The 23667-nt window shown below is 38.8% G+C and overlaps 2 protein-coding genes across 4 annotated transcripts in view; one reads left to right on the top strand and one right to left on the bottom strand.

The window, feature by feature from the left end:
• The window catches only part of SEC24D (SEC24 homolog D, COPII component), a 113304-nt gene extending 108154 nt beyond the window's left edge, over positions 1–5150 (top strand). For both annotated transcript variants that reach the window (NM_014822.4, NM_001318066.2), the window contains exon 23: positions 4318–5150. In NM_014822.4, the coding sequence (NP_055637.2) occupies positions 4318–4458 (141 nt within the window). In that variant the 3' untranslated portion in view covers positions 4459–5150. The remainder of the gene's footprint in view (positions 1–4317) is intronic.
• METTL14 (methyltransferase 14, N6-adenosine-methyltransferase non-catalytic subunit) overlaps positions 12543–23667 on the bottom strand; it is a 30039-nt gene continuing 18914 nt past the window's right edge. The window contains exons 10-11 of one of the 2 annotated variants that reach the window (NM_020961.4): positions 22152–22362; positions 12543–17975 (exon numbers count right to left, since the gene is read on the bottom strand). In NM_020961.4, the coding sequence (NP_066012.1) occupies positions 17671–17975; positions 22152–22362 (516 nt within the window). In that variant the 3' untranslated portion in view covers positions 12543–17670. Of the gene's footprint in view, positions 17976–22151; positions 22363–23667 lie in introns of those variants that run through there. The other variant, XM_047416029.1, reaches the window with a different exon arrangement.

The raw sequence follows: 23667 nt of genomic DNA, 5'->3' as shown, positions 1-23667 counted from the left end.
CTTACTGAAGAGCTATAAGACACTCAGCTGGAGGCACGTGTCTACAAGTGCCAGGGTATTTATGGGGCCAGTTGTCTCCTGAAATGTAAATGTGATGTCAATCTGAACCAACATTCGTAACTGTGAAAGTAACTCATGCATGCAAACATCAACTTTAGGTAGAGCTTAGGTAAATTGAACTAATGACATCTGGATGAATACACAACTTTTCTAGAACAGTTTTCACACCACACAGCACCTATGGTTCAGTTTAAGGGCAGGACCTAGAGATGACAGACAAGGCTCAAACTAAACACATTCTCTTAAGATTTGGTTACACGTTTTTCTAGGGCATTCTCTCTGAATGCCCTAGAAACATGTAACCAAATCTTGAGTCTCAGGAAATGCAAACTGAAAGCCACTGGTATTTAGAATGCACAGCAATAATGATTCACCTTCATCCCAGCTGCAGCAACTGCATCCCTCCAACTGGGCATTTGCAGAAAAGAGGCAAGACTAAGCATGGAGATCATCCTTGTGCTCAGTAGTTCCTCCTTCAGGGAAAAACATTAAACTTTCCTCTGCTTTCTCCCACCTGTTCCAACCACTTATCAAAGTTATGTCAGCTTTGGTTATAAAACCATCTGGGGGTGAGCTTCAAATATTATATGTGAATAAAATATTAAGCACCTGTGTGATAAAACAATTTTAGCTTGAATACTTAAAGAATCAGATTTTCTTATGTACTATCTGCAAATGTATCCATCTGTTCATAGAGTGCTATCTCTATAAAGAATTAGAAATATCTAAAATCTACAGATGTCAGAGTTGAAAGGAATCTGGGAGATACCTGGCTTCCTGTAGCTGCACATCACAGACATGAAAGTGAGGCTCAAAGGAGCTCACTAGCTTGGTCCGGGTCTCACAACTGGATCATAGCAGATACAGGGCTTGTACTAGCTGCTTAGTCCCAGTGCACTTAGCATTCCACCCTTTCTCTGACACTTGAAAACTGACTAAACAAAGGAAATGAAAACATACTTTTAAAGGGTTAAGATTAGGTAGGAGAAAAGAGTTGGTATGGAAGGATCAAGAGTAACAAAATCAAATCTAGAAGGAACTGCTACCTTCCAGGTTATGCTAATTACTTTTTCAAAAACAGTCCTCTTAGACCTTATTGTCAGATTATTCTCTGTGGGGAACAACAACAAAAAAAGATTTCTACCACAGTATATCTACAGATGACCGAAACCAAGTGCCTTCCTGAGAAATTCTAGTCCTGCCCTGCACAGTTCTCTGTGCTCCAAATGTTTTTTATTCTCTCTCCTTCCACTTGTATTTTCTAGATTATTCCTTTCCCATTGGCCCTTTTCCAGTTTACAAGCTGTTCAAATCTACCTTCATAGAAGCTGCCACTTCTCCAAGATTCTGCTTCCCTTTCCTCATTCATTCTACAAATATTTATTGAACACCGGCAATATACCAAACATTCTACAACCAAGCTCCTTGAAAAAGTCTATATTAACTGCTCTTTCCTTCTTCTCATCTCTCCACTTCTCTGTAAACTGCCAAATTGCTAAAGACAATTGATTCTCAATCCTTTTATGCATTTACAAGGTTGACTACTTCCTCAAATTCTCTCCTGTCAGCTTTCAAAACATCCCCTGCTCCTGATTCTTCTTTCTCAGTGACTCTTTTTCATAGGCTTCTCTTCATTCATCTGCCACTTAAGAGTTGGTATTCCCCGAGGGTTGTATCATGGCTCTCTTCTCGCTCAACATGTTCTACCTGGGCCTTCCTAATCACTCCCATGCTTTAGCGATTCCCTGTGAGTCAGCCAATGAAAGATGAGATTGGCTTTTGAAGCACATTAATTCTTTAAGACCTCTGGTAAGGTGACCCAGAGAATGTCACATTCAGAGTTAGCCAGTCTTCCCTTGGAGAAGGCACACAAGAAGCAAGGAGGTGACAAGCAGTGATTATTTTAATGTTCTCTTCCTACTCTATAGGGCCATCCCCCTCCCTTTAGAAATGTAAAGCGGGGAAATAAAGATGGATCTACCAATCCATACCAGTATGCTTTCCTTTTATTGGTGTGGGTGTGCCCCTTGAAGAGACGACCATCACTGTGTCAAGACAGGCCAATACCACTTCCATGACTCCACTCCCCTGAGACCTTCCACTATACTTTCTGTGTCATCCTGACACCTGTAGATAATCAAATGGTAGGATAGGATATTAATCACTGTAGCTTAAAGCTAAGTTTCTCCCAAGGCTGACATTCATTCCCTGTTCTACTTACCACCTCAGCTCATAGCGAGACACTTTTGTCAGAGGAGGTTGTACAATGAGCACCACACAAAAACAAAAAAAAAAACCCAAGTGAATGGCAGCAATAGAAAATACCTCAGATGAGCAATCTGACCTTCTTTCCATTAATTTCCATAAAGAAAGTAAATTCTAAAGAAATTGGAACTTCAAGTCTTTCCTCCTTCAATGTCTTATCCTGCCCAGCCTCAGTCTGAATTGTGTCAGAGGCTAGACCCACACTGCCCCTACCAATCATGGACAATAGTAAAGTTGTAGTGGCATGTGGGAGAGGGTGGATAAAACATAAAATGAAAAGAATCCTGACTTCAGGTTCATCAGGAGGCAAATCTTAAACTTCTTTGGAGAAATCTCATTAAGGGTTAGTTTTGCTTCCCCATGTAGGAGTGGAATCTGCCTATGCACACAGCTATTCCAGTGCCAACTCCCAGTACCTAGAGCTGACACCCAAAAGCCAAGGCATCACACATATCTGTATCCACATGGAATTAGCTGAGTTGTGGCAACAGCAGTTGTTCTTATATATTATTATTTTTACTAGGTCGGGGCAACTTAAAACCTAACAGACTTGGATCCAGGCCGAAACGTTATAAAGGAAAAAAGCAAGTGGTGTTGACAGAGTTACTCTCTGCTTGATAACTAAAAAGCATAGAATGCAAAAGTAGGGAGGGCCCTGCCCTCCTAGCCAAAATTGCACATACCTTCCCTGCTGCAGCTGGTGAAGCAGCTAACTGCATGTGTTTCCCTATTGCAGGCCTTTCTGGTGGGTTTACCTCCTGAGAGGAAGAAGTGAGAAATACCCTCGCTCCTCTTAATTACACAGGAGGCAGGTGGAGAGGCATTGTTGTGCATGTGTGGCTCAGTTAACCCCACTTGTGGCGCAATAAATATGAAATTATGACAATTCAGATCATCTACCTTGACTTCCTCAAGTAGGAATACAGGTGTAGAAAGAAGGGTTCAAAGTGTTCATGACAAAACTGCCTCTCTTCTGGGCTTCTTCCCTGTGGGTTTCTTCTTAGAGCAGCACTCTCCAGTAATGCAAATGAATATGCAATTCTGTGTTTTCTGATGACTGCATTTAAAAAGAAAAAATTCATTTAAATAATTAATTTAACCCAGTATATCTAAAATATAATTTCTATATGTAATCTGTATCAATTATTGAGATATTTTTATATTTTATTTTTCATACTAAGTCTAGAAATCTATTTTTTTCTAGAATCTTATATAGAAAATATAGAAATCTTATATTTACAGCACATCTCAATTTGGATGAGCCACATTTTAAATGCTCAATAGTATGTGTGTCTGGCTGTTGTACTGGACAGCACAGGTCTAGAGAATCATGATGAGCAAAGGACAGGAGTTCTCCCTGTTTTCCCTGTGTGTTAACCTCTCTAGCATCTCTCCAATCTACCCCCTTTCCACCTCCACTGCTCTAATTCAGAACCTGATCATCTCCCACCCAGACACTTCAAACCACTTCCTATCTAGTGTCCCTCATCTCACGAATGTATTGTACATACTGCTGCCACTTAACTCTCTCATTTCATTCTTCTGCACCTTCACTGGATCACATTTCCTACAGAAACCCAAACTCATTATGATGATAATTTGTCCCTTTTAGAAGAAGCCTGTGATAATTTACATGCCAGCCATAATTGTATCTCTGGTACATGGCACATGTATTCCAGTATGGAACACTTTCTAGCCCTACCCCTATCCTTTAAGGCTCAGGGGACAGTTACTATCACTGTGAAGCCTTTCCCGTAACACTCTGCTTAGGTTTCATTTTTGCCACTTAAAATTGTATGTCTTAGGTTTTGGGGTTTCGGGGTCCATGCCTCTTTCCACTCTAGATATCAGGCACTTTCCCATCATCCTCCATAGCCTCACACATAATGGGCATTCAATAATGTTTGCCAAAATTGAAATAGACAAAATTGACCCATTTTCAAATAATGTTTATAACCAGGGGCTGTTACTGTTTTGTTTTTTTTTTCCTAGCTCACAATTGTAAAGCAGCGAGAACAACCAGAAATGGTTTTCCGACAGTTCCTGGTAGAAGACAAAGGACTTTACGGAGGCTCTTCTTATGTGGATTTCCTTTGTTGTGTTCACAAGGAGATCTGTCAGCTGCTTAATTAATTGAAACTTCTCTGTCATTGATGTTGCATTTCCAAGGAGATAATCTCCTTCTTGGTGCCTAATTTTCTAGATGATAATAGGCTAGTTTTGATTTCTTGCTCATTTTCAGAATAACTTTCCAGGAAGAGATGGCATTTAGAACTTCAGCTTTGGTGCTCAGGTATAAAGCCAATTAAGGTACAATTGTACCATAAAGGGAACAATCTGTTTCTGATTGCACAGTTTCTAATTTTTAAAACTGATGTGGTTTGCATTTCATAAAAGGCAAAGTTTACAGAACCATAAACATTCTCAATTTTCTTTATGCTAGACATATAAATTATTTTTCAAACTGTATAGATTTGGGGTAAAAAGTTGTCTCAGTTCCTCTCCCAATTGCAATGAGAAAAAAAAGCTTAATTTTTACATTATACTTAATTTTCTAAAACCATGTAACTCCATTGAACACATTTTTCAACTTAAGGTCTGCATAGCAGACTTTTAATAACCTTGGGATTTATCTGGTAGAACAATATGTGTTCTACATTTTTTTCATAATTATATATTGTGTATGTTAAAACTATTTTCCAGTTGTTTTGTCTGTAAAACTGTCTTTATCAATATGCTTAATGGTTCTTTGTACAATTTTGAAAGTTTCTACCTGTATATAATGGATGTTAACCAGTATCAATAAATCACTTCGTATAATCTTAGTAGGTAGATTTATTTATTTATTATGTATTTTTAGGTCTTAAAAAGAAATAAGGGTAGTATTCAAAAAGTCTTGGCAAAAAGTTGTTTGGGTAGCTCACTAAGAACAAATCAGGAAAACAAAATTTTCTCTTTTTTTTTGAGGGTTGAGGAGTACTAGGCAATAAATCTAAGAAACATCATATTATACTTGAGAAAGGCATTTCAAAGTTCTCTAAAATGTTTTTGTGGGCAAAATAAATAGAAATGGGCGACATGAAACCATTATTAATGAATATGTCTAAACCTAGAAGAATGATTTTGAGTGATGTCACAAAGGCATCTGCCTCTACCTGCCCTATTCAACTTTGTTATCAATTATATGAATAATAATAGCTAACATATATTGAGTACATATCGTGTCCCAAGAACTGCACTATGTTTTCTGGGAACATATGCACATGTATTCTTCACAGCAACCCTGATCCTGTTATCAGCCCCATTTACACATGAAGAAACAGGCTTAAGTTCCTTGTCTCTGATTATATGGCTAGTAAGATTTATTTATAAATTAGATGTCATGAAGTAGGTAGAAAAACAAATACAGTGACAGAACTAAAATCCCCCCCATGTTAGCCAACTGGCATGTTGCTTCAACATCAACTTGGATGAGTTTAACATCATCAACTTGGATGAGTTTAACATCATCAACTTGGATGAGTTTAACAAGAAGAAATGTAAGCTCCTAGACTTGTGTCCAAAAAACAAATGCATATGCAGGAGATCATTCTTGGAAACAACACATGTTAGAAAAAGAACTTAGGGAGTTTGCCATTATGAATCACTAGTGGAATGAAAGCAGATATGATGTCAATCTACCTTATTACTAGGATAGGCTGTCAAATGAGCATAGTGATGGTTCCACTCTACTCTGAGGTCAGGCCACACCTAGGCGCTTGTTCAATTCTAGGCACCATGCCCTATGTGAAATAGAAGCACAGAGCACATTCCTTTATTCATTTGAAGGCTGTCTAATGATTTGTTCTTTGTGTTCCTTAGGGTATAGAACCAGAATCATTAAATAGAAGTGACAGGCTGGGTGCGGTGGCTCACGCCTGTAATACCAGCACTTTGGGTGGCCGAGGCGGGTGGATCACTTGAGGTCAGGAGTTTGAGACCAGCCTGGCCAACATGGTGAAACCCCGTCTCTACTGAAAATACAAAAAATTAGCTGGGCGTGATGGCAGGCACCTGTAATCCCAGCTACTTGGGAGGCTGAGGCAGGAGAATTGCTTGAACCCGGGAGGCAGAGGTTGCAGTGAGCTGAGATCGCACCATTGCACTCCAGCCTGGAAGACAGAGCTAGACTCCAAAAAAAAAGAAGTTACAAAGTTCCACTTAACACAAGAAACTTCTAAATAATTAGGTGCTCAAAGAATATGCCATTGGAAGTAGTATCTTCTCATTTAACAAATACTGACTGCACATTTTCTAGGTGCCAAACACTAGGCGCTATACTGGAGAGACAACAGTGAACAGTACAAGCAAAGTCCCTGCCATCTCTACAATTACAGGAAAGTTTCAGAAATGCCATGAAATGCTACAGTAAGCACACAGCAGGGATATCTGACCTGGTCTAGCTGGGGGGGCAAGGTGTAGTCAGTAAAGATTTTCCAGAGGAAGTTACATTGAAGATGAGACCTGAAAAATTGTAAACATTTGCCAGGTACTTGGCAGTATTGGTAAATATGCCAGCAGAAGAGAAAATAAGCATGAAGGCTCAGAGTGGAGAGGGCACACATCACCCTTTCAGTAAACTAAAGAACTTAAACTTGACTGGAACTATCAAGGAGAGACAAAGTCGTAAAAGATAAAGTTGGAGAAGCAAGTAGAGTGAGGCTTAGCCAAGGAAGAGTTTGGACTTTATCCTAATGACAAAGTGAAGACCTTCAAAGTAATTTAAGCAGGAGCAGCAGGATCACTCTAGAAAGATCACTTTGGGGTTGTAAGGTGATGTAACTTGCAGCAGACAGACCATTTAGGAGGCTATCAGAATAGTACATTTGAGTTCACGATGGCCTGAATTAAAATAATGGTATTTAGTTGTTGGGGGTGGGGGAATTGGGGGAGAGGTGATGTAAGGGAAGAGAAAGTGTCAGAAAACGATTTGTTTTGAGCAACTGGGTAGACAGATGATTCTCTGAGAGGAAACAGAAATAAAAACAGCTTGTGTATGTCAGTGTGTATGTAAAGGGTATAGTTCAGATTGTACATATCTAAGGTAGCTTGCAAGCTATCCAAGTGAGATAAACTATAAGACCTAAAAATATGGGTGTGAAGCTCAGCAGAGAGCTGTAAGCTAAAGATCTGCAAGCCATCTACATATATATCAAGAAAAGGAAGCCACACAAGTGGCTGAAAAAACTTAGGCTGACTCTGTAGAGTGGGAAGGAAGCAAATCCCTAGGGCAGAGAGTCACTAGAAACCTTGAAACTGGGAAGGGCCAGAGAGGTAAGAAGGGAACTTGGCTAGAAGATGTCACAAACCTCAAGGTAAAAGAGGGGGTGCATGAAGAGAGTGGGCAGCCAAGTTACAGGCTTCCAAAAGACAAAGACAAAAATGTTTGTTGGGATTAGTAAAAGGTCATGGGTGACTTTGGTGAAGAGCAGTTTCTCTAAATCAGTAAGGCTAAAGGCTAGATTAGAACAGGTTGAAGAAGGGGAGGCAGAATGGAGGCAACTCAAGAGGCGACGAGCGGGTGGATCACAGAAAGGGGAGGATTTTTTAAATTTTAAATTTGTTTTAAATTTTAAATTTTAAGGGATTTGCCATTCAAATGCTGGTGGAAAGAAGCCAGTATTATGTGGAAAAAATATAGATAGTGACAATACTGTACTACAAAGAATGTTGAAGATTGAAGACAGAGAAAAAATATTCAAAAGAGCAAGACCCTTGGAAAACAGAGGGAATATAATATAAATGGTGAGGTTAGCTTTCATGGTAGAAGAAACCCAATATGTAATGGAAATGCTCCAGTGAGTCCTGAATGACCACTTGCCAAAAATGGTGTAAGTGCTGCTCTGAAACGGTGCTCCCCATCCCCAGACTGGAAGAGCTGGTGGAGCACAACGGCTCAGACCCATGTCGCTCTGGACCCAGCGACATGGGTTTCTATACTAGTTCCACCACTAGCTGTGTGATCCAGGGGAAGTTAGAAAATTTTCTGTGTCTGTTTCCTCCAGTTTTTTCAAGAATTAAAGTTTATAAAGGGCCTCGAACAGTGTCTGACACATAGTGCTGCTATTTAAGTATTCATTGCTGTTATTGTTTTATTAGGTTTTTTACTAAACTTGCTAAGGATCATAAAAACTAGGACTAATCTGACTCCTAATAGGATTTGCTACTATGCCACCAGTATCGTAATTGACATCCTCCAAATCAAGCTCTTTAAATGCTATAGAAATTCCAATTAACAGATGGTTTCAGAGATTAGAATAAATTTGCCATATGAGAAATTTGCAGCTTAAACTACTTTAAATGCTAAAAACCAACACCTCAATAATATATAAACCAAAGACAAGAACTTGTATTTCAAATGTTAAGGAACCATTATTTAAAAAAAAGAAATGAGTTCACTCACTTTTTGAAGGCACATCTTTTGAGGTTACCAAATGGCAACTTTCCTAGAAGGTTCACTTCTAAAAGTCTAACATAATGGTAGTAGACTGAGAATAATTAAGAATCATCTAGACTTGTGTCCAAAAAACAAATGCATATGCAGGATATCGTTCTTGGAAACAATACATGTTAGAAAAAGAACTTAGGGAGTTTGCCATTATGAATCACTAGTGTGGAATGAAAGCAGGTATGATCTCAATCTACCTTTGGCCTCAAAAGACAAGCGAGTACTTGTACCAAAAAGAGAAGTTTTAGGGAAAGTCCACCAAATATAATTTTCTAACAGAACTGTTCATAAATGGTTGTTTGGGAAAGTAATATTCTCATCACTTTTTTTGTTGTTGTTTTTTGAGACAGGGGGTCAGTTTGTTGCCCAGGCTGGAGTGCAGTGGCAAGATCATGACTCACTGCAGCCTCAACCTCCTGAGTTCAAGTGATCCTCCTGCCTTGGCCTCCTGAGTATCTGGGACTACAGGCATGTGCCTGGCTAATTTTTTGTAGAGATGTGGTTTCACCATGTTTCCCACGCTGGTCACAAACTCCTGGGCTCAAGCAGTCCTCCCGCCTCAGCCTCCCAAGGTGAATTCCTCCTCCAATGAATAGCAGTTTTCAGATAGTTCAGAGACATATCCCTATCATGTTTCTTGTGCAGGCTAAACTCCCTCGATTTCCAAAATGTACCCTCATAAACATTTCCAGAGCCATTGTTATCCAAACTTAATACATGAGAATCTAGTTTTGAATCACGTAAAGAACAAAGTCAATTTGGGGAGACAAATTACTAGTGTTTCATTAAGGAAACTATAAGTGGATTACAGATGCAGTCTCAAGAATACATGAGTTGTGTAAGAATTTCCTTTTTTTGGAGATGGAGTCTTGCTCTGTTGCCCAGGCTGGAGTGCAGTGGCGCGATCTCGGCTCACTGCAACCTCCGCCTCCCGGGTTCAAGCGATTCTCCTGCCTCAGCCTCCCAAGTAGCTGGGACTACAGGTGCCTGCTGCCACACCCGGCTAATTTTTTGTATTTTAGTAGAGACGGGGTTTCACCATTGTTGCCCAGGCTGGTCTCGAACTCCTAAGCTCAGGCAATCTGCCCGCCTCAGCCTCCCAAAGTGCTAGGATTATAGGCGTGAGCCACCGCGCTCGGCCGAGTTGTGTAAGAATTTTTAGGGAATGCTTTTTTATTTTATTTTTCCACTTTTTTATTATTTGAGATGAAGTCTCACTATGTCACCCAGGCTGGTCTCCAGCTTTCAGGCTCAAGTAATCCTTCCATCTCAGCCTCCCACATAGCTAGGATTACAGGGTATCATGCCTGGCTTTGATAATTTTTTAAAAAATTATATTACAGAATTACCATTCAACCTATTACTGAGTATATGCCCAAAGGAAAATAAATCATTCTACCAAAAAGACACATGTTCATAGCAGCACTATTCACAATAGCAAAGACATGGAATCAACCTAGGTACCCATCAATGGTGGACTGGATAAAGAAAATGTGGTACACATACACCATGGAATACTTCACAGCCATGTAAAAGAATGAAAGCATGTTCTTTGCAGCAACATAGATGCAGCTGGAGGCCATTATCCTAAGCAAATTAACAAAGGAACAGAAAACCAAATACCACATGTTCTCATAAGTGGGAGCTAAACATTTGCTACACATAAATATGACAACAATAGACACGGGACTATTTGAGGTGGGAGGGAGGGAGTGGGGCAAGAATTCAAAAACTGTTGATCCAACAGTGTGTGCTCACTTTGTGTTTCTGTGTCACCTTTTGGTAATTATCACAATATTTCAAACCTGTTTATTATTATGTCTGTCATGGTGATGTGTGATCAGTGATCTTGGATGTTACTATCATAATTGTTTTGGGGGTGCGACAAACCACACCCATATAAGATGGCAAACCCTAATCAATAAATGTTGTATGTGTTCTGATTGCTCCACCAAAAAAAAAAAAAAAAAAAAAGAAAAGAAAAAGAAAAACTTGGGTTCTGTGCTCAGTACCTGAGTGACGATCATTCAGACCCCAAACCTCAGCATCACACAATATACCCAGGTAAAAAATCTGCATGTGTATCCCCTGAATTTAAAATAAAAGTTGAAAAAATTCTCTTACCAGTTATAAAAACAACTCTTTTGCAATGAGATTTGCAATTTTAAGACCTTCTGAAGAACGAGACTCTAGTTTTTTTGTTGGTATTTTTCAATATGAGGTATTCCTTGGGTTCATGAAAAACTGTTTAAACACACATTATTCATGTTTGAAGAATACCATTTTAGGATACCCAATGGGGTTTAATGTTACCCAATCAATGTTTTAGGGACCCCACCTCATATGCCTATGTGTCAAAAAGGTTATTACCTTCATGAATTAGGGAAGTTTCAAGCAGATATGAATTGCAACTGTAAACTCTGGTGTGCAAAAATGTCATGTTTTTAAAATCAACCTGACAATCTGAATCTCTATCCCACAGGACTGAAAGGGAATCTTTACTCTCTTTCATCCACACTGATGACTAGTGTCAAAGTGCCCCATGGCTTTGTGAAGTCCAGGGCTCTCTGCTTTCACACCATGCTTGGGGAAAATGAGTGAGTGGTCTGGGCTGAGCTACTTTCCCAGTGGAGCTCCGTGCCACTGAGCTCTTTCCCCATGAGGTTCTCTCCCCTAGGGATTATAGGCGTTGCTGTTGCTGACCAGCAGCAGTTTCCTAAGACTCCTGGGTGCCACCCCACACCCATCCTCCACCATCCTGTCCACCCCCCTTACTCAGGCAATCTACTGTCTCTATTATTCACCGGAGAAATATAATCTACTTTTTCCACTTAGGCTATAATTAAACAAGGTGACACAGGTGTAGTTAAATCGCTCTCCTTATTTTAACATGTTGCCCTTGGCAGAGAAGTAATTGAAAAGTTACATTCTAAGGAAGGAGTCAGGTTCCTTTAAAGTCAGACCAGGGGAAGTTAGTTCTGTTCAAGACCTCTGATAAATGGTAATTCAGTGGAAACTGCTTTGTTTTCTTTATCCCCAAAGATAATGTTCTTTTATTTGAGACAGAGAAAAAGTCTTTGTTAGAAAAACAGTCCTCTTACACAGCAAGAAAGCATCAGCAGAAGGGAAAAGAGCTGACAAGGGAAGGTTATGAAAAATCTCCTGGGAGTTATTTCCAATTATTAAGCAAGCAGCAAGGGAAAGGGACTATTTATTGAGCACTTATTATATGCCATACATTAGAAGCTGAGAAAGCATACCACTGCCCTTATAAAGCTAACAACAAAAACTAAGTCATAAGAGCCCAAGCAGTGGTGTAAAAGCTCAGGACTAGGTGAGTAGACAAATGCAGGTATCAGATGAAAAGGCAAGCTTTCTGTTTGAATCAGGGTAAAGGAAAGCAATCAGAACTGGGAAAGGTCCCCAAAGAGGTGCTGGTGCCATCCTGATCCACTATCTTGTCAGCACCATCTGAGGAAGGATATGGAGTTAAGATTCAAGGAGGTAGTTGGCTGATGGGCTTACATTTGTGTTTACATTTTTCTAAATTTTGCTTTGGAATTATTTTTATAAATATATTTTTAATCATGCATTATCCTTTAATTGAGCTCAATAGTAGAAAAGAAAGCTATAATCTTGAGTTTTTATTTACCATGCTATAAACCTAGCTTCTTAGACAAAACAATAACCCAACTACCCATGTAGCTTTCATGAATTATGAGCAATATTATTACATTAAAAATCTTTTTATTATTAAGGTACCCACCACAATACATAAACTATAAAGTGACAGCTAATTCCACAAGACATTTAAGCAATTACTTTGATCATTTAACCAGCATAAACTACTAAACTGGATATATCAGAACAAAATTGTGCTTTGAGGTTTTGTCCACTTTCAAAAACAACAAAATAAACACCCAGAAAAGGCAGGATAATGATGTAGCCATTCTCTTATGATAACAACAGTTATAAAAATCTGTACAGGTAAGGATTATCTAAAAGGTGTATTTTGTGACAACACAAGCCTAGACCTCCACATTTTCCCCCATTGGATAGATGAATGGCTTGCAATGACATCATTATACGGCAATTTTAAAGTATTAGTTCACATTTTCAGTCTACTGTGTGTTCCAAAGTAAGCCAACTACTTAATATGCTTTCAAAGGTGATAGTTTCCTGTCTCAAGCAAGTAACCTTTTTTCCTCTTTTTTAAGTAAATGTGGTCACACAGTATACAGCTACAATGCATGCATAATTTAAATATGCATGTTGGCCAGTTGCAGAGGCTCACGCCTGTAATCCTGACACTTTGGGAGGCCAGGGTGGGTGGATCAGTTGAGGTCGGGAGTTTGAGACCAGCCTGGCCAACATGGTGAAATCCTGTCTCTACTAAGAATACTAAAATTAGCTGGGTGTGGTGGTGGGCACCTGTAATTCCAGCTACTCAGGAGGCTGAGGCAGAAGAATCGCTTCAACCCTGGAGGCGGAGGTTGCAGTGAGCCAAGATCTTATCACTGCCCCCCAGCCTGGGTAACAGAGACTCTGTCTCAAAAAATAAAAATAAAAAAGAAAATATGCATGTGGTATTTTGTTAGCCAAGTTAAATTTTTTTTAGTTCTATGAATGCAAATGTAAGCAAAAGTCACAAACTATTTTGTCAACCTCTAAAATGTAGGGAAATGCACATGAACATCTCAGACTTACCCTCTTCTCTCTGTGGTGACAATTAGCTGGAGCTGACAAGTGATGTCCACTTTACCCAGGGTATGAGGTCTCCAGCCCCACTCTTCTCTCTATAGTTGCTATGGCCTGAGACCAAGAGTCAGTGGCCATTTACTAACGCACTCTATGCTGCTCTGCTCTGCTTTTCTTAGAAAGGAGTTGAGAGAACTCATCAAAGTGAGAAAAAGCACAGATAGATGGATGAAAGTAAATGAGTGAAAATATTTCCATGTCGTTAATATGCAAACAATGTGCCTAAAGAAGACAATTATCCCATTAAAAAGTTCTTGGCCTGCTTCTCTATTAATATAGAGTCCCATATGCATTTTACATTGTTGACTTCTAGGTTGTCAATTATTTAGAAGTATTTTTGGAAAAACCTACCTTATCTGATTTCAGTTTATTAGCACCTTTAGTTACAGAAACATGAACTCTAACATACACTCAAACTGATCATTTTAATATTTTATCCAGTAGTGGAAAAAGGGTTTACTGGAAAAGGATGTCCCAATTATCTAGATTGAATGAGGTAGTTTTTCTCTGTGCATTACAGCTAGCAATATTTATACGAGTAAATGATAGAGTTATTGAGAGCAGAAGCAATGTGGTATTTCCAGAAATGAAGTCTTCAATGGAGTCAGTTTACTGGATAAATGTTCTAATCTTTTGAGAAGTCCTAGATTTATGGCCTCAAAACTAACTATATATACACAAGAAAAGTTCAGCCTCTATTACCCAACATCAAAGAGAGGATAATGCTAGTCACACATGAACCCTAAGATTACAGGATTGTTCTAAGAAAGACCTTCTGCATAAGCAAAGGTTTATGTTTCTAATAGATCACAAAATATGAGACACTTTCAGATCAAAGACTACTGTTTAGACTAAGTCCCAACAGGGCTTTCATTTTGTCATGTTAATAAGGATTATATTAAACAAATTAGTAAAGTCTGAAACTATACTTCAAAGGCTAAATCTTATGTTCTAAATTCAGGATGAAAACAGTACAGGTTTTAAATTAAGCGCTGTAACTAACTGAAAGATAATTTAGCAATTAAGATGGGTAGAAAGTATTTTAAAAGACATGAAAAGGAGTAACTCCTAGTAGCAGCTGTGACACCCTGATGCACAATATAGCTCCCAAGTATCCCATCTTTATACTCCATTAACTTAAATGAAACTATAGCATATCACTGACCTGGCCTCAGAATAAGGGAGATAGGAAATAAGGGCTCATAAAGTGGCTCTACTACTTACCAGAGTAACAGAGCAGAACTGCTGCAGTAGTGATCCCTCTCAACTCTGGATCTGTGAGTTGGTTGCCATGCCACACTCCTGCTTGATTCTCACTTCCCAGGTTGACACCTTGACCTCTCACACTGTGCTGTTTCATGATGACCGTATTACATTCTGACTGCCATCATCACAATTCTGTGGTCTAATCTGATTCATTTGTGTTTAGGTATGGTATTCCACACCATAAAATCTGTTCTCCTGACATCATCAACTACCTGCCCTCTTCTTTCTCCACAGTGAAGAAGAGTAAAAAAGTATTCCTACTCAATCAGTACTTTGGGCCTCCTAATCCCCATCCTCTGAAAGGAGGAAGGTCAGTGGGAAAATGGTTCTCACTGGAAATAAATAACAACAGTTGGTTTGGAATACCATGAATTATAATTCTGTAAAAACTCAGACATGCTGATCTTCTAACTTCTAAACTAGGTTATTTCACAATAATTAGCTTCTATCCCCAGTAAGGAATTAGTGCATAAAGCAACTAAAAATTTATTTCTATACAATTTTTTTTTTTTTTTTTGAGACAGAGTCTCACTCTGTCGCCCAGGCTGGAGTGCAGTGGCACAATCTCGGCTCACTGCAACCTCCGCCTCCTGGGTTCAGGCAATTCTCCTGCCACAGCCTCCCGAGTAGCGGGGATTACAGGCGTGCACATGCCACCACGCCCAGCTAATTTTGTATTTTTAGTAGAGATGGGATTTCTCCATATTGGTCAGGCTGGTCTCAAACTCCTGACCTCAAGTGATCCACCCACATCGGCCTCACAAAGTGCTGGGATTACAGGCATGAGCCACCATGCCCAGCATTTCTAAATAATTTTGTGGAATGTAAGACATGTAAATATAAAGAAGACCAAAAATTAGAAGAGGTCAGAGTAATGAAATTTCATTGGAAACCTTTCCTCAATGAATACACAGTCATTGCAAAAACAACACCTCAACCTTTACTGAAAGTGAAAGTTAGCAAAAACTAGTGAATCAATTCCATCCTGCTATTAAAAAGGCCAGATTCATTGTCAAAGGGATAAATTCTGGGTCTTACATTCTTTTTCCACCATCTGCTCTTTTTTAAATAACTTTTTCCTAAATATGGTAGATCATGGCTCCCCTTAACTTTCAACCGACAAAGCAGCCATACCTACCTCTTTCTAAGATGAAATTGTGACACTGATCTCACAGGTGCCTATGCCATGTAAACAGCAGGAATGTCACCTTGGGTAGGCCCAGGGTATGGAACGTAATAGAGAGCCCTGTGTATAGGACAGGGTCACTCCTTAGCTGATACTTCTAAGGACCCATCACAGGCAAGTGGAATTTCTCTATCCTGACTTCATTCCCAGGTCAATGCTGACATATAGAGTTCTAAATCTAGATAATTTGTAATTAGTGAAGTTGAAAATATACCATAATTTCAGCAAAAAAAAAGGGGTCTTGTACTAGATAGTACTAATGGGTTAAGCGAGTTAAATTAATTAGGCTTTTAAGGATCTCAGCCTTATTTCTTCTATCACTCATTCCTTATCTTCAAACTGAGTCTTTGGTGGATGTAATATAATCTCATCTTAGGTATATATGAGCACAGAACGGCCATTAAAATCCATCACAGACCAAAAGAAGAGACTGATTTTAGGTCAGTCCTTTTTCATTTTGTAACAACAGTAATTCTACTTATAGAAAACAGACTCTCAAATCTCAAAAGTTTAAAGTTTCATTAGAAAAATCATAAAAATAAGAAAAGTATTCATCAAGAATGATAATAGTATAATTTCATTATCAAATTCATTTAAAACATGAATTACAGTACAGCAAGAGAAGTGACAGCATAAAGTCTTATATAATTTTAAAAACAAACATCACACCATATGGTTTTAATAAAAGGCAATTGCAGTTCCAATTTCCAAGCTGTATCCTTAAGTTGAGGGTTTTCCGTAGTTGGTTTTACATTAAACTATCTCCATAACAAGTTTAAAGGTGTATGTCATTTCATCACCAAGTATTTTAGTCCCAAAATGTATAAACCAAGCATCTGATAATGAGGTATCTTGTCGCTGCCTCTCTTTTATTTGAGGAATATAAAATTTAAGGTCAATCCAAGTTCAAGTCCACACCACAGTGCTATCTAGCACATGAATATTTGTCCTCCTTTGCTTCTTAGGAAGCGTGATTAGGAGTCATAGCCACAAAATTGAGATTATGATGATAAACTTTTTTTTTTTTTTTAAGTCTGCCTGCTAAGTTCTATCTCTTCTTTCACCCACCCCTGGAATCTCCACCTCCCCTATCAAATTTAGATTTGGGAAGAGTTTTTGTTCAAAGTCTCTTAATTTCTTCAGTATTCAAATTATATCTGAGTTTATTTAAAACTTAAAAAAAAAGAAGAAAAAAGCTTACCTCTTTTTATTGTTTCATCAAGAAAATGTTAAAACCCTGACAAAAGCTTACCATCTTTTCCAACTCTATTCTATCAAGGCCCTGTCAGCACTAGCATGATACCACAGACTGGATCTTTTTCCATTATTTATTCCCAAAAATTAGCAAAATCCTTTGTAATTAGCTGAAGTCTATCAGAATAAATTCAGTCTCTGAAGATGAAGCTACTTGAGTTGTTCCATTCTGTTCACGCACATAACAAAAGGCAGAATCATTCATTTATCCTGAAAAAAACCAGACAGTGTGTGTGACAACTGCAAGCAAGGCTCGCTAAGACATTCTTGCAGCTCAGAGAAATTAAAGCAAAGTGCAAGCTGGAAGTGAGTTCTAAAGTTAAGTCTCCCACTTGAAATTTAATTACAATAAAGAAGGTTAGAGGAGGATGAATAGGTTCAATGTCTTCAACAATTATCGAGGTGGAAAGCCACCTCTGTGTGCTCCTCCACGGCCCCCTCTAAAGCCACCTCTTTCTCCTCGGAAGTTAGATCTATTTCTTTCTCGTCCACGGCCAGCAGAAGTTCCACCTCTTCCTCCACCTCTGGGAGCTCCACCTCCTCGGTCAGATTTAGATTTGGGAGGAGGCGATTTTGGTCGAAGTCTCTCAATTTCTTCTGTACAACCAGTCAAGTAGGAATTAGGAGCACTGAAATAGGATGCATATGTTTCTGCATTGTAGTTGCTATTTGTAAGCGTTGGTCCAACTGTGAGCCAGCCTGAAATGGAGGAAAAAAAGATTATACTTTTTATTTGCAATTCTCTCTTATTAATTCTTTAGAAGCTAGTTCAAATCCCCAATGCATTCTTAAAGATGTCCCCATCATTCATCCAATACTGATCTCTTTTACAGAATGGCACTTAATTGTGGTCATGTTTTAAAGATTTCACAGGTATATATCTTGTTTCTCCTCCTAGATTGTAACTTTTGTAATATATCCTCCTCATCCACGTACTATCTTTTGTGAGAATAGAACTTAGAGAAAAAAAATCCCATACATTACACTGAGTTTGGGTTTAGTGAAACTGTAATAAATTATATATAATCTTCCTATTTATGTAAATGGTGCCATTTTCTGATTAAAATCTTGGAACCAACTTTTGCTCTACACTTGCTAACTAGAAAATATTCTCAGTTGATAGGTCTGAGAAATTCAACCACTACCATGTTACTCCCACTCATTCCTATCTTTCCATTTCTGCTGCCACCCTCAAATTTAAGCCTTTATTTTTTTTTACAAGGTCAATACCCTACCATATAACACATGTGTAACAGACACACATATATACTGTAATGATCTCCCAACCTATAGCTTCTCCTCCCTCTAAAAGTGGAAAGCCTAAAGCAAAGCTTAAAACATGTCACTTCTCTGCTCAAAAACCTTCCAACTGTTTCCACAAAGCCCAAATTCATAAATATAAAATCTAAGATCTTTTACAATGATGGCTGAATGAACTTTCCAATAACATTTCTCATTAATGCTTTTCATGAACCTCTAAGGAAAACAATGAACTACTATAGTAACTGCTTCTATACTAACCCCGATTTTTGTGCCCATATTATTTTCTTTTCTATCCTGTCAACCTGTTAAAAATCCCACCCTTCAACATCCAATTCAAATATATTTCTTACATGAAATGAAAATTATTTCTTCTTTCTCAGAATTTCCACTGCACATTATACTTCTGTAGGTAAACAGCTATTTTGCCAATTATATTGCTAGACAACTTTTCTTGTAATAAGGATATTTTCTGATTGATTAAACTGTCTTTAGAATGGAAGGAACTACAAATACCCAATACAGACACGGTGCTCTGGGGTTCTTTGGGTGTGGTGACTCTTACAGACATGCCCTTTGTAGGGGACCCTGAAAATATGCCTCTGGAGCATTATAAGAGACACAGCATTATTTGGGACAGGTCCAATTATCTGTAAGAATTAGGTTATTTATCTGCAAAGTTAGGTTTATAATATATCTGCCCCATCATCCTTAGGTTATTTCTTAGAAAAGTAGATGCATCATAAAAAGCTATAAAATGAAAAATATTTCACTAGGATCACATTCTAAAATACAGTAGCCATTTCTGTACAATACTTAGTTCATTGTTTTTTAAAACATTTTTAGTTTCTAAAAGTGCATGAATACAGTAAGATTTGTAATAGTTGAAGAAAAAAAGGTTAATTATACTGTGTCTTTTATGTATTACCTGGCAGATACCATGATCAAGAGCACATTCCACACCTATGGGCTCTCACTGACTATTAAACCTATGAGATTTTTATTTGCTGCCTTCTAGTTTGTTTTTTGGCATGTTTGTGGTATTATGGAAGATAATATTCAATATATGTGGAACACAACACCACAAACAAGGAATAAGAAACAGAAAATTTAAAGATATAATAAAAATAACTAATACTCTGTCTCCCTTGCTATACTGTCTCTTACGTAAAACATGGAAATCCTTGCAGAGTAAACTGGCTATAGAAGTCCAAGGGATTCCCCTCTCTTCCAAATTCTGCACAGCAACATTGTGTTTTATCAGAAATTCTAAAGGTATTACTAAGAACAGAGTAAGTTTAAAATAGTCTGGCTTGGGTGTGTGGTGGCTCACACTTGTAATCCCAGCAATTTGGAGGCCAAGGCGGGCGATCACTTGGGGTCAGGAGTTCGAGACCAGCTTGGCCAACATGGTGAAACATCATCTCTACTAAAAATACAAAAAATTAGCCAGGTGTGGTGGCACACGCCTGCAGTCCCAGCTACTCAGGAGGCTGAATCACTTGAACCTGGGAGGCGGGGGTTGCAGTGAGCCAAGATCGTGCCACTGCACTCCAGCCTGAACAAGAGTGAGAACCTGTCTCAAAAAAAAAAAAAAATTGTCTGGCTTCAGAGTGTATTTGACTCACATAGTTATCTGTAAATTTTATTTTAAAGCAATGGTAAATTGTATTCCTAAGGTATATGTGAAATACCTTAGGCTATGTCCTTGAGGAAGAAGTGTGTTTGAGGAGCAACTTAATAAACTAAGGTCTTTTTTTTTTTTTTTTTTTTGAGACAGGGTCTTATTCTGTCACCCTGGCTGGAGTACAGTGGCACAATCTCGGCTCACTGCAACCTCTGCCTCCCAGGTTCAAGTGATTCTTCTGCCTCAGCCTCCCAAGTAGCTGGGATTACAGGCACACACCACCACACCCAGCTAATTTTTGTATTTTTAGTAGAGACAGGGTTTCACCATGTTGCCCAGGCTGGTCTCAAACTCCTGACCTCAAGTGATCTGCCCACCCTGGCCTCCCAAAGTGCTGGGATTACAGGCTTGAGTCACAGTGCCTGGCCATAAATTAAGGTCTCTTGAACAGACTCTCAATTGCACATACTATTATTTATATGGCTAACTCCCAAACATCTACACTTTGATCCATCAAATTTTTCTTCCTTATTTGCATGTAGCTAATACTAAATTTTTGCAAGAGTTTCTTTCTTGAAACTCTTGCCTATTCAATTTCTTTCTTTCTTTTTGTACTAGTAGTTTACAAGTACAAAATTAAACCTGTACCCCTAACCTGAATATCAATCTAAAAATACTTCAGATAGAAAGACAGCAAGTAAATCCAAAGAAACTAGAAAGAAAATAAAAAAGCAGAAAGTAATTAAATAAAAATAAACATGCAACAAGGCAGTGAGAAGACAGTCACCGAATAAGAGAAAATATTTGCAAAAAACAAATCTGATAAAGTACTATTCTCCAAAATATACAAGTAACTCTTAAACCTCAACAATAAGAAAACAAACAGCCAAATAAAAAATGGGCCAAAGACCTTAAAAGACATCTCACCAAAAAAGGCATACAGATAGTAAATAAGCATATGAAAAGAGGTTCTACATCATATGTCATCAGAAAAATGCAAATTAAAACAACATTATGATACCACTACACACACACTAAAATTGCCAAAATCCTGAACACTGACAACACCAAATGCTGGTGAGGATGCAGAGCAACAGGAACTCTCACTGCCGGTGGAAATGTAAAATGGTACAGGCACTTCAGAAGACAGTCTTGGCAGTTTCCTACAAAATTAAACATTCTTACCATACAATCCAGCATTTGTGCTCCTTGGTATTTACCCAAAGGAGCTGAAAACTTACGACCACACAAAAACCTGTACACAGATTTCCATTGTAGCTTATTCATAATTGCCAAAACTTGGAAGATGTCCTTCAGTAGGTAAATGGATATAAAAACTGCGGTACATCCAATGGAATATTATTCGGCACTAAAAAGAAATGACCTATCAAACCATGAAAAGGAATGGAGAAATCTTAAATGCCAATTACCAAATGAAAGAAGCCAATCTAAAAAGGCTACATACTATACGATTCCAACTATGTAACATTCTGACAAAGGCAAATTACGGAGACAGTAAAAAGATAAGTGGTTGTCAAGAGTTGTGGGTAGGGATGAATAAGTGGAGCACAGAGGATTTTTAGGGCCGTGAAACTATTGAGTATGATCCTATAATGGTGGATAGATGTCATTATACATTTGTCCAAACTCACAGAATTACTACAACCAAGAGTGAATCCTAATGTAAACTGTGGACTTTGAGTGATTATGATGTGTCAATGTAGGTTCATCATTTGTAACAAATGTACCACTCTGTTGGGAGATACTGATAACTGGAAAGGTTATGCATGTGTGGGGGCAGCAGGTATATGGAAAAGTCTCTGTGCCTTCCTCTCAATTTTGCTGTGGACCTGAAACTGTTCATATTTGAAGTACAGCAAGAAAAGGAATCAAATGCATAAGAACTTTATTTTACACAGCACCATGTCCTATTTCTTGACATGCATAACCCAAAGAATCATAAAAGTTGTTGTTAACTGAGGTCCTACCTGGTCGAATTGTACTATCTCTTCCAAATAGATGAAGGCGTCTTCTACCAAGACAAAAATGCTCAATTATATGAAAAATTTCTACAGGTTTTTCTATATTGCCAATTTCAGGTTCTTCTGTGATAATTAAGTCAATGTCAACATTAGCATGAATGAAGTCCCCGTCTGTGCTACGCTTCACAGTTCCTTTGATCCCCATGAGGCAGTGTTCCTAAATAACAAGAGCAGACCAATTAATCTGTTTTCATCAACAGTCATTCCAAAACCTTTCACATTTCTGATGTCCTCAATTCTAAAACAATCCTCATTTCTCGGAATCTTTGGGATACAGTTATTTCTCTTCTTTTTGAGACTGGGTCTCGCTCTGTCACCCAGGCTGGAGTACAGTAGCACGATCTCAGCTCACTGCAGCCTTGACCTCCTGGGCTCAAGCAATCCCCCGCCTCAGCCTCCCAAGTAGCTGGGACCACAGGAACACACCACCACACCTGGCTGATTTTTAAATTTTTTGTAAAGACAGGGTCTCGCCATGTTGCTCAGGCTGGTCTCAAATTCCTGGGCTCAAGTGGTCTACCTACCTCGGCCTCCCAAAGTGCTGGGATTACAGAAGTGAGCCACCATTTCTGGTGAGATACAGTTCTATGGGCAACAAAACAACAGGAAAACCTGGATCTCTGGATGAGGAAAGACTGCCATGTAAATAAGAAAAACAAACTCTTCTACGCACTCACAACACTCAGTATTTTCAGAATACTTCACTTCTGATCCCAGATGTGTGGGTTTTTCCCATACCAAGCAATTCTCCACTTCTCCATCAACACTATAATTCAATTCAATTCTGACACTATCTACCTAGTTAGTGCAGACCCCACAGGTCAAGGGCTGAGAACCACATGAATGCCCCACCTTCAGATACCAATCACAAGTCCAGATTGTCACCTGTGCTTCTGACCAACCAGCTATAAATCAGAGGTTCCCATGACCTCTTCCTCAGGTTAGATCATTTGCTAGAACAGCTCGAGGAATTCAGGAAAGCTCTTTACTTACTATGACCTATTTATTATAAAAGGATACAACTCAAAAACAGCCAGATGGAAGAGACACATAATGAAAAGTATGCGGCATGGGGCATGGGGCATGGAGCTGCTGTGCCCTCTCCAAGCAGACCACCGTCCCAGAAACTCCACAGGTTCACCAACCCAGAAGCTCTCCAACCCATCTTGGGATTTTACGGAGGCTTCATTACCTAGGCATGATTCCAGTACAAAAAAGACTTAATAAGAAAGACCCTCCCACCAGAGGCTCCCTAAAAAGTAAGAACAAAAACTGTTAAAGCCTGATACTAGCAGGGCAGAGTCACAACAAACAGAAGTTCTCAGGGGTTCTTGTAAAGGAAAAAGAAGGAAAGAAGAGAGAAATACGTCTCTAAGCTGGCCAACTCGAGTCTTGCGATCTTGCTATCTCTTCTTTCTGAGCCTAGAAAAATTCTGCGGGTGAGTGTGATCAAAAGCCTTTA

This window comes from Homo sapiens, chromosome 4 (assembly GCF_000001405.40).
Source record: "Homo sapiens chromosome 4, GRCh38.p14 Primary Assembly".
Classification (NCBI taxonomy): Eukaryota; Metazoa; Chordata; class Mammalia; order Primates; family Hominidae; genus Homo; species Homo sapiens.
The sequence above is the reverse complement of the archived record's forward strand: the minus strand, read 5'-3'. Positions and strand labels throughout refer to the sequence as shown.